General features: G+C 43.4%; 1 protein-coding gene across 11 annotated transcripts in view; it reads right to left on the reverse strand.

The window, feature by feature from the left end:
• RAI2 (retinoic acid induced 2) overlaps positions 1-12,082 on the reverse strand; it is a 61,250-nt gene that overhangs the window by 21,591 nt on the left and 27,577 nt on the right. For 4 of the 11 annotated variants that reach the window (XM_006724460.2, XM_006724459.3, XM_011545441.3 and 1 more), the window contains one exon: positions 7,488-7,630. The exons of the other annotated variants lie outside the window; for them this stretch is intronic. The gene's annotated coding sequence lies outside the window, so the exon portion shown is untranslated. The remainder of the gene's footprint in view (positions 1-7,487; positions 7,631-12,082) is intronic. 11 annotated transcript variants of the gene reach the window in all.

A 12,082-nucleotide genomic window follows, 5' to 3' on the forward strand; every position in this document is an offset into this window, starting at 1 on the left:
TGGTAGGAAAGAAAGGCAGGGGATAGATGACATATGGCTTTCTAATTTCCATTTTTACAAAGACTAGTACAACTCATTTTGTAGCTGGGGAAACAAAGGCTCAGAAAAGGTGACTTGGCCTAGGCCACGCATCTAGGTAGGGGCAGGGTTACGGTTAGAATTCAAGGCTCTGTGCACCTTTGTGTTGACCCTCTGGGCCCTCAAATGATTTTCATTCCACAAAATGCCTCCAAGCAGCTTTCAGGTAATGAAGTGACAAACAGTATATTGAAATAGTGTTCTTCCAAGCAGAAGATCTTTACCATGCAAAAGATTATTTGAAGACTAATTAGGATTCTGAAATTCTTTAATGGCTAATTCCTTAGGGCCATGTCAAAAATCCATGTGAATATTTCCAAATTATTTTCTTATCATAGGCAATATTAATTCTCTAGAGAAAAACCAAACACATGCTAGTGACATTCTTAGAAATCTGAGTTGGGTGTTATGATCATACAAGCACAAGCAAGAGTTTGTCTTAATAACTGAGAAATATACGATTAATAATTTTACATTTATTTTAATACCATTCCTTCAGTTCAATAGATGACAAGAATTCTTATTCCTAATATTGTGGATGTAAATATTAACGTCGGGGTTTAAAGGTTCACTTACCCCCTCTCTTTTGAAACTCTGAGCTGGGTACAAGATAAAAACAGGAGAGAGACCCGTGACTAAAGACATTTGAGTAAGTCTGACCTGCATTCCCTATTAAACCTTCAGGGTAAATGGATTTCTCAAATCTGTTTTCTTCTTTGGGCAGCTAATCCCTTCCTTCCAGGAGATTTCAGCCCCTCCACTCTCTGCCTCGTCTATGGCAACAGCCCCATGTGCTGTTTCCATCTTGCATCCCCACATTAGGCTCTGATACAACTGCAGAAATTATGACTCAAGAGATCACAATTACTGACTTCCGAGAGCCTCTGATTTCTCCCAGAAGAATGAGCAGAGGAGAAGTTCTAGGTACTTTCAAAGACAGATGAATTCAGGCTGTTTCTGAATCATGGCTAGGCTTTTCTCAGTCTCTCCTTTTTCTTATGAGGACAATTCTAAAAGTATGCAGATGTGAGAGTGCTAACTGCAGAGGGTCCTGCCTGCCCTTGGCACAGGTAAGAACCGTCTACTTTTAGTTACTTATGTCTCCACAAGATCAAGACAACTTGGTCCAATGGATGCAACGAAAGTGACTCAAGCTGTTGAATGATTCTCTTCCTAAGCTCTCTGTCCTAAGCCACTCTGCCACTGTGAGAGCATAGGGATGCTGATAGATCTCATAGGTGTACACTCACTCGTCCCCTGAAGTTCTGTTTTGAGAAAGAAAATACAATGCAAAGGCATAATAAATCCAAGAGAAGTCCTTCCGACTTGTAAAGAAGAGGCCTCACTTAAATGAAATGAGATGTAGATGCCCAACTCAGCCACTGACTGGCTGTGTGAACACTGACAAACTCCTTTAGCCTCTCTATGCCTCAGTTTCCTCATCTGTAAAATGGGAGTGATGACAGTGTATATGCCGCAGGGTTGTTAAGAAGGGTAGGTGAGTTCACATGTGCAAGATGCTTGAAACAGTTCCTGGCACATGGTAAATACTCAGTAGGGGTTAGCTATTGTTATTATAACAAAAGATAGGGAGCCAAATGAGCTTCACTGTGGAATCCTAAATAAATAAGGCGAGGATTATATTTGAAACTATAAATAAACAATACATAAGATGAAAAGAGGGATGGTTTTTCTTCTCAGCAGCTTTTCCATGGCAATGGTCAGTCTATTCAAACATAAGCCTGGCATGGTGCTGGCCTCCCATGGCCCACAGTAGGCAAGATGTGCGGTGGAACAGTAACTATCATCAAGTCTAAAGTGACAAGTGTAAGGTCAAGAGCAGAGGTGGTGGGGACCTGATGCAGGATTTTCATCAGGCTAGACTCTCTAGGATAAAGGGTGGAGAGGGACAATCAACTCTAGCTGCACAAGAGACTTTGATCAGGTAGCTTTGAAAGACCCAGATAAGTCTACAGCCATACCACCCTGAACCCACCAAATCTCGTTTGAACGACCCAGATTCCCAGGCCACACCCAAGGCCAGTGAAATCAAAATCATCCATGGTTGGGCCTGGGCATCAGGATTTGTTTAGAGCTCCCCAGGTGGTTCTGATGTGCAGCCAGGGGTGAGCAACCCTCCTCCCAAGTCTGGATCCCCGTTCACCACTACGTAAATGGATAGCTTATCCTGGCCAGTCTTCAGGAGGCCCAGACACAATCTCAATTCTCTTCAAAGAGACAAAGAGAAAACCCACCAAGCCCCACCCAGGGCAGGAATCAATTAATATTTGTTTACAGGTCCACAGTGCCTGGTATACAGTCTTGGTGCTGAATCAATAAGTGAATGAATAGATGAATAAATAGATAAACGAATGAATGAACGAACGAAGAAACAAACGAATACAGCTGCATAGCAAATGTCTGCAAATAAGGAAGTAAATTGGTTAAAAACTTTCTAGAGGGCAATTTAAAATCATTCATATCCACTGACCTAGAAAATCTACTTTTTGGAATCACCTCAAGGAAATGCAGGCCCTAGCTGGATTTTCTCCCAAGTGCCTGCAGCGCTGATTAAAGGGAGATCCAAGGGCTATAGAAGTGAAGAGTAGACACTCTAGGGCAATGGTGCTCTTGCAATCCCATTTCCACGGGGAGGCGAGAGAGGGGCACCCTCAGACAAGGACCATACCTTTTTCTTTCATTAGGATTTGGGATTTGCACAGACTTTCAGTTAAGAACTCAGTGCAGACTCCAGAATTCAGTGGCCTAAGCATGAAAGAGACTCTTCTAGGTAGGAGAAAGCTGACAGGAAAGTCCTGCCAGCCAGTCAGTTAGGCCTTTAAAAAAAATCACAGTAAGGCAGAGTCCAATGTCTGATTTTGAGCAGAGCAGCCCCCCTAGGATGAGTTAACTGCAAAATGTGCCCCTGTGTGGTTAATTATGTGACCCAATCTTGCCAGCTGGTATGAACAAAGGTGTCAGCAATTTGAAGCCTTGTCCAACACTGCAGATGGTTATTAACTTGGGGAAGTTAGGAACCTTCCCTTTCTGCAAATGGGATGGATTTACCTTTGAGTCCATCTTGAAGGCATTACACATTAGAGGGAATCCATTCATCAAGACTCAGGGCTTGCTCCTCAAGAGAGGAAGAACAGCCTGCATCTACCGTGCAGGTGATGAAGGGCTTTCTCCACTGTGTCTGCAACAGCATTATAATGGTGGGGCTTTGAATCAGGGGCTGGAATCAACAGGAACAGAATTTTGCAAATATGCCTTTGACAGTCAAACCATCCCATCTGAAGCTATTAAATGTGCTTGTATGTGTATGTACTTCTTGGTACTTAAGAGAAAATAGAATCATCATTCCCTGGGCAAGACCACTTATAAGAAATTTGGTCCAGAAAAAATATTATTCTTGTGTTACAAAATCAAAGCAGTGGGGGGAAAAAAATCAAAGGAAACGATCACTCAGGAAAAATGGCCCGGTTCCAAAATGCTGCGGGAGACCGCATAAAAAGCACAGTAATATTTAAGCTTGTGCTAAACAGATTTTTTCTATGGTCACTTTTTACCAAGTGTAAGTTTCTATATGCTCTGTCAAATGCCTCTTTAAGGATTTATTCTGAGGGATTTTCTGCCATTCTTGGGCTTAAAAGTTCAGGCAAGGTTAAGGGGCTGGATGGACTTTGGAAGTGAAAAGCCACATAGGGGACAACCATGAGAACATGGCACTGAGAAGGCTGAGGTCAACCCTCTGTGCCCTGCCTGGCCCATTTATAAAGGGCCTAGATAGTTCTCCTGAGTCACAGGCAGCCCTTGGCCTCAGCCAGCCATTCTGCAATGAACATGGGTCATGAATGTCACAGAGTTCCAGGGGCTGTGCATGTGTGGCTGGGCTGGTACTGTCCCACACTGGGAAATCATCAAGGGGGTTGATGGTGGGCAGGTAGTGATGTCTTAGATACCAAGGATGACATCACCACTACAAACATCATTGTGACCATTACAGTAAGTCTTACTGAAGAAAGAATAAAACCAAGTAATTCCCTGAAAACTGACCAAAGCAGTATTAAGAAATGTTATTGAATTATTGATCCCTTCAAATACAAGTGCCTATTCCTTGGTGAAACCATATGTTCTAAAACCAAAAGGCAAAGAGAACAGCTGCCCTCTACTTCTCCACAGAGGTCACGTTGACCTCCATGTGGCCAGATCCACTGAGAGATTCTCTTGGCCCTCATCTTACTCATCTCAGCAGTGTTTGACACAGTGACTATTCCCTCCTTCTTTTAAAACATAAATCAAATAGTTTTATTTGTCTGCATAAAACTCTCCAAGGCATCTCATTGTACTTTAAAATAAAAGCCAAGCCCTACAAAGCCCTATCTGATCTGGCCCCACTTTAACCCATTCCAAGAAGGTACCAAACTCTTTCCTGCCTCAGGGCCTTTGTACTGGCCATTTCCTTGGCTTGGAATGCCCTTCTCACAACTGGTTCCTTCTCAGCTAAGTCTCAAATCAGAACAGCCTTCTTAGATAGAGAAGGTTCTATGACCATTTGGAACAGTCACCACCTCCATCCCAGTTTTCCTCTCTCATATCAGTCTCGGTGTGTCTTTCCTTCAGCACCTATCACATTTGCAAGCTATCTTTTTTTTTCCTTTGTTTTCTGTTTATAGTCTGTCTCTTCTACTTAACCTGGAATGTTGGGTCTCTAGGAGCAGAGACCTCACCCAGCACCCAGAATAATACCTGGTTCATAGACAATGCTCAATGAATATTTATTTGGAGGGAGGAAGGAAGGGAGGGAGGGAGCAAGAGAGTGAAGGAGGGAGGACAATGTTCCCAACTAGTGTGTCCAAAGACTGATATACCTCAAATTCATTACAGAGGTGCTACCAAATATTGAATAGTGAATTGATATGGTTTGGCTCTGTGTCCCCACCCAAATCTCATTTAGAATTGTAATCCCCACATGTCAAGGGAGGGACCTGGTGGGAAGTGCTTGGGTCACGGGGCTGGTTTCCGTGATAGTGAGTGAGTTCTCACAAGATCTGATGGTTTAAAATTGTGACACTTCCCCCCTCATGCTCTCTCTTTCCTGCCATGTAAGATGTGCCTTGCTTCCCCCTTGCCTTCCACCATAATTGTAAGTTTCCTGAGACCTCCCCAGTCATGTGGAACTGTGAGTCAATGAAATCTCTTTCCTTTATAAATTACCCAGTCTCGAGTAGTTCTTTATAGCAATGTGAAAACAAACTAATGCATAGATTCCATTTATTTTGGCTACAGCTGAAGATATAGAGAGTTGAGTCATTGTCACATGGAATGTTCAGTTGATGCAGAGTAAAGCAGCATTTGACTTATGATGAGTAAGAGGCACTGCATTGGGGAGCTAAGGCCAGATGGCCTGCCCACTGGGATATGGAGAACTTGACTTTGAGACTACATAGAAGAGCATGGCCAGGGCAGTGGGCTCTGCTTCTACAGCAGCCCTTAGTGCAGAGAGGGAGGGAGTAAACTCTGTGATCCCCTTGCAGGCCACACAGAATCATGGCTCAGAACCCCGCCCAAGTTACTGTTGGCCCATAACCAAACTCTGAGTTCCAGGAGGGTAGGGGTGGGGCCTTGTTCGACAACCAATAAACATTTGTTGAGTGGCTGTATTTAACAGAACTTCTTCACAATACTATTTATGTTTTATTTACAATACACTTTTATACACAGTGCTTACTGTGTATACACAGTGCCAGGTACTCTTCTAAATGTTTACAAATATTCAAGCCTCACAAACACCCCCAAAAGAGAGATGCTGTTATTATTACTACTTTAAAGATGCAGAAACTGAGGCATGCAAAGAACAGGGAACTTGCTACTCAGTTGCAGAGCTGGAACGTGAACTTATTGTAGCCTTGGCTCCAGAATCTATGCTCTTAACCACCAGCCCAAGCTATCAAGAGTGTCTACTGCCACAGCACCAGCACCATGTACCAAGAACAGGTGGGTGGGATGGCAGCATGGGAAAAGGGTGAATGGGGCAAGTGGGTATTTACCCTTTAAGAGATCGCTGGGTTAAGTCTCACATACTTCATATACCACTTTTTGGTGCCACCTCTGCAGGCTGAGGGAAGGTGGGGAGGTTGAAGCTTGGGGGTCCATTTCCAACCCAGTATCCCTACCCCTGCAGGAGATCTCTTTTTCCCTTCATGTTTCTACTATAGTTCTAGGCCAGCAATTCTAAACCTGGTACAATTCTGTCCCTGTTGCCAAGAGGACATTTGGCAATGTATAGGGACATTTTTGGTTGTCCCTAACTTGTGGGAGGTGGGGAGGTTCTACTGGTACTGAGTGGGTAGAGGTCATGGATGCTGCTAAACATCCTACAAGCCATGGGACAGGCCCCCGCAGCACAAAATAATCTGGTCCCAAATGGTAGTAGTGCTACGGGTGGGTCACCCTGGTCTTGGTCCAGAGACTACCTATCAGAAAATTAATAAGAAAGGTGGTAAGGCCATCAAAGGCAGGCCCATCTGTGAATCACCGAGAAATGCCAGCTGCTCCACTACAAAATCTGCAGGGAAGAGGCAAAGACCTTCCTGCTTGCCTCCCTCTCTCTCCTGATTCCTGGAACCACAGCCTCTCCCTCCTGCCGAGAAGCTAAGAACAGCTCTGGCCCACATGGCACATAACAGAGGTTGCTAATACCCGCTTCCTTTGGCAGCTTCTTAATGCTCTTGGCTTGGCATTTGGTATTCCTCAAGCCCTTTTGCCTAATTACATTCTAGAGATGAAGGGAAACCTATGTATAATTCAAAAATGAATGGCCCTACCTTTGATTCCTCTAAAACATGCCAAATCAGAGTAGAACTGTGCTACTCCTCCAAATAGATTATGGGGATCTCTGGAGAAGTAAGCGGACCTTGATGAGCCCAAGCTGGACCCCAGGGCAGAGCACAAGAGAATTTAGAATGCTCTTTATGGATGATAAAATGAAGAAAACTCAGGATCAGATTTAGGATGGGAGCGAGTGGGGGAATTACGTGGTATGGTAAACCCAGAAGGCCCAGGCTTGATTGCTGGCTCTGTCCCTGAGCTCTGTGGCCTGGGATTATCACTCCGCTTTTCCCATGTGTAAAACGGGGTTTGAGACACCCCCATAAAGATACTGGGAGGGTTGGTGGGGGAGGCCGTCAAGGGCCTCACACTGCATGTGGCTTAGAGTAGAGCCTTATCAAATTTTTGTTTGTTCACTTGCCAATGTTCACCCTTTTATTCACTTATCACCATTTATCCTTTTAACCATCTCGACACCCGAGGGATCCAAAAGCTATTTATGCCTCTAGCTCACCAACTCAGGAGCAGTAGAATGTCCTGAGCACTCAGTAGAATAATAATGAACAAAAATAAACCTGAGGAGCACTGGATGTGACTTGATTTGCAGTCATTTCAAGGAATCATAGAGTTGATTGGATTTTAAAATTGGGCTTCAGCTAATGAATACATGTGCAATCCAGAGTCAAAGGCATGTGCTGAGATGTGATTTCATGGCCATCTGTATGGAAAAAAAAAAAAAAAAAAAAAAGGTCTGTAATGGTGTGGATAGGATGCTGTCCAGAGAAATGGATTAGGCTAGCAGTTCTCAAAACAGGGCTAATGATTGAAATCACCTGGGGATCCCTCTGAGCTCACAGATTCTCCATCTGACTCCCAAGAGCCCAACCTCATGCATCTAATGGGGTCCAGAAATGTACAAGTTCTAAACTCTCCCCAGGTGATTCTAAGGTCAGCTGGATTTAGGAACCTCTTGACAGGGTTTCTAAATTGTGTGGAGCAGTTCACCAAGTGCCAGGCAACAACCCATGATCCTTAAATCTCTTCCAAAATCCTTAACCAAGATGTTTCGCAAGCATTGTTTGAGGCTGCATTTGCTTTTACATCTAAGAGAACATTTTTAGATATGAGATTTGTTTTCCTTCCAGCAAGATGCTCTACATCACTACTACCAATTAGGCAAGTTCATTTAAAAGCTTTGAATCCATACTTGTAAAATTCCCCCTTTGCTCATCCAACTTTATGTCTAAACAGTGCAGCTGATGGCTGTACAGTTCCATTTATGAATTCCACTCTTGTGAATGTATTTCCAAAATTGTTTCAGAATTTCTTTGTCTGGGTAAGCCAGGACTGCTGGTTTTAATAAGAACATGGTTTAAACATAGTTATCCAGGTCACTGATATTTCATGGCTTCCCAGAACACAGACAGCACCCAGTACCCAGAGAGAACCTTCCCCTTTTCAAACAAACACTGCCCTTGCCCAACTCTATCCTTTCCTTTTGCAAAATAACTCCCTCTCCACTTCCCTCGCACATCATTTTTTCTTTAGAAAGAGTTATATGGTGTAATAGAATGAAAACTGAGGTTAGACCAAAGGAAAGGCAAGTACTGCCTCTGGTTACAGCTCATCAGCATCACAAAGTGGTCCACAATAGTGTCTAGCAAAGTGGCTTGCACACAGTAGGTCCTCAACAGCTAACTGAATGAATTCAATTATTTGAGAGAACTCTTGCACCTCCATTTAGGAAAACCCAAAAAAATATTCTCTGAACAACTGTGACATTCCATAGCATTCACATCTGAGAACGTGTTCTATTACATAATCAGCAAAGTAAAAGGAACTTTATTTTTAGCTACTGGACTTTGCAGGGAAGATCAGAGTCCCATTTTAAACTTCTCTTTCATCCCTAACCTTCAAATGACACTCCTATGATTTGTTTTTTTTTTGTTGTTGTTTTTTTTTTTAAAGACTCAGTTAAAGATGGCCTGGAGCACACTTAAAACAATACAAAACAACAAGAGAAATAAACCAGATGGCAAAAAAACATAAATCAGGACAAGCCGAGCTGAACAAGCTACAAAGGAAGGCATGGTCAAACTGTGAAGGGAAGAGGCACTTCATCCCTCATGGATAAGTCTCCATTATTGCTTCCTTGCAAAGGAAAGCTCAGAGGTCATCTGGGGTGTGTGTGGGGGGGTGTTATACCTCCACAACCTGTCACAAGCTAGGCTAGAAAAAGCTGCATAATAGTTGGGAACCTCCAAAGGGTCAGTACTCAGAACAGGTAAGTTGGGCATTGATTCCCATATGATAGAAAAATAATAGTTTGTGAGTATCTTTGTTTTAATTGAATGATGATAAAGGTAGAGAAAGAAGAAAAAGAAATTGACCCAATGTATCTGTGCTATTTCTAACACATGATGAAAACAATGAGAACTATCCTCTAGAAAAACCATCCATCCTCATCTTTTCTACAAACATCCATAAAAGGACATACCTTACACAAACATCACTGGCACCCTCTGGGCTGAGGAAGGCAAGAAAGGGACTCTAAAATTCGAGACACATCTTGTTTGGCTGTGTCTCTGATACTGGAATAAATGTTTGGACTTTTCCATGGAGATAAGGGCTTCAGTTCTGGGAGATTTGTTTTGTTTTATTGGATCTGTGTGATAGCTGGTAGAAAGTAAAATATTCAGGGGGTATTTTTAATATATAATATGGATATATGGACATCTGTCAACCTGCATTGGGCGGGCCTTTCAGCTCTTACAACAGCTGCCATATATTTCTAGTACATTAAAAAGCTTTTTTTTAAAAAAACAAAAAACAAAAAACAATAACTGGGCCTCTTAGGCAAGAGTACATGTCCATTAGTTTTAGATACTTACAAGTACATGCTGTTCTGTTGTAAAACAACACGCAGAAAATCTGGCACTAAGTTTTCCACCCTGGAGCCCTGTTTACAAACATACTGAATTATTAACCCCAGAACATCATCTTCACCCCTCTCCCCATTTTATCTACATGATCTGAAAACTTGAAGAAGGTTTTCCAAGGCATGCTTGTCACTCTGAATTTATGGGCACGGACAATGCCAAGGACTCCTGTTCACTACACACTGAATGTTTTGCACCAGCCAGTAAGGACTGTCGAAGTGGGAGAAGAAATGTGGCTACGTGTTGGGAATGTAAGCAGCACAAAGGGATTACATCAATAGACCTAAATCTGTCTATTTCCTTATCATCCTCCACCCTCTTTGTTGATAGCTGTTATGAGTGCATCAGAGTTTGCTGCAAATGGCTTTTCTGAGCAGCCCTAGAACTTTGTGGATATGCTAAGGAAATCATGAACTTGTAGTGGATTGTCTTTCCCACCTGCTTCCAGAGCTTCCAGAATTTTCCCAATTAAAGCACTCATTGCCTTATTGTCTCTAATCAAAGCAAGCATTGCACTGTATTGTAATCACTTGTTTAAATCCTACCTTTCTTGCTATAGGAAGTACTCCAGAAGGAGGGGCAGAGATCACCACTGTCTTGTTGTTACCAATCTATCCCCCAAACCTTGCAAGGTGCATGGTCTGTAATAGAAGGCTAATAATATTTATTAACTGAAATGCACTGATAACAGAGTGAAAAGGGCTCCCTCTTGTAGGGTGACCAATTGTCCTGGTTTGCCCAGGACTGAGGGGCTTCCCAGGCCCTGGAACTTTCAGCACTTAAACCAGGGCAGTCCCAGGCAAACCGGGAAGGTTTAAACAACTGATCTCTTTTCGTTTCTGCACCACCAGATCCAGGTTGCAGACCCACCCTCGCCTCCCAGTAGTTCCCAACCCTGTCGCACCTGTACATACAGCTGCTCGCCTCACCCATCAGCTGGAGGGAGGGGGCAGCCTTCTAAGGTGACATCCCTTTGTGCCCAGTTTCTGCCCAACGACAAATGACTACCTTAGCCACACTGCCTGGTCAGCTTCTTTATGAGAGGCAATAATGGTTACTTTATTTCCCAGATTCAGAAAATGGGCAGGTGTCAGAATGATCAGGAGAGATGCCCCAATTTAAGCTGTGTCCCTGAGTCTGCCCAAAGGTGGGCGTGATGCCAGATACCTGTGCACTCCAGATGAAAAACTGCTGCTCTCCTTTCCTGGCCACCTGCAAACCCACCCCAGGTCCCCCTGCCTGTCGGTTTCTAAAGCTCACCTTCTTTTCTCCCATATTAGGGTTAATGGAGGCTAGGCGCTGAGGTCCCTCCTTACCCCACAATTATGCTGGGGATGTGATAAGGGAACATGAAGCTCACTTGAGTCTTAAGGGAAAGATAACCCAAGACAGTCTTGCCACTCAGGATCCAGAACGCTTGTTTATGCAGTGGTGAGTGGATTTTGCCACCAGTTGGAAACAAGTTCACCCACGGGCACATCATTCTTGCTTATTTCTAGGATGCCCTTCTATAGACTATCCAGAAAACATAAAACTGAAGGCAAGGGAAAAGCCAAAAACAACCCAACCCAAATGTCCATCAATAATACATAAACAGTCTTATATTCATATAATGGAATATTACAGAGCAATAACAGAATGAATTACTGATACAATGCAACAACATGGATGAATCTTGAATATTTACACTGCGTAAAAGAAACCAGACACAGAAGTACATACTGTCTGATACACTTCATATGAATTTCGGGCTGGGCATGGTGGCTCAGGCCTGTAATCTCAGCACTATGGGAGGCTGAGGCAGGCAGATCACTTGAGGCCAGGAGTTCGAGACCAGGCTGGCCAATGTGGTGAAACCCTGTCGCTACTAAAAATTCAAAAATTAGCCAGCCATGGTGGTGTGCGCCTGTAATCCCAGCTACTCAGGACGCTCAGGCAGGAGAATCACTTGAACCCGGGAGGTGAAGGTTGCAGTAAGCTGAGATCATGCCACTGCACTCCAGCCTGGGTGACAGAGTGAGACTCTGTCTCAGAAACAAAACAAAACTGAAGTTCAAAAGCAAACAAAACTGATCTTTGCTGTTAGAAGTCAGAGTAGTGGTTACCTTGAGCCAGAAGAAGAGAAAAATAATGATTGGGAAGTGAATGTTTTGCAGGGATGGAAATGTTCTATGTCTTGATTTGGGTGGTGGTTATATGAACGTACACATAGGCAAAAATTTATCAACTTG

The sequence above is a fragment of the Homo sapiens genome, chromosome X, assembly GCF_000001405.40.
Source record: "Homo sapiens chromosome X, GRCh38.p14 Primary Assembly".
NCBI lineage: Eukaryota > Metazoa > Chordata > Mammalia > Primates > Hominidae > Homo > Homo sapiens.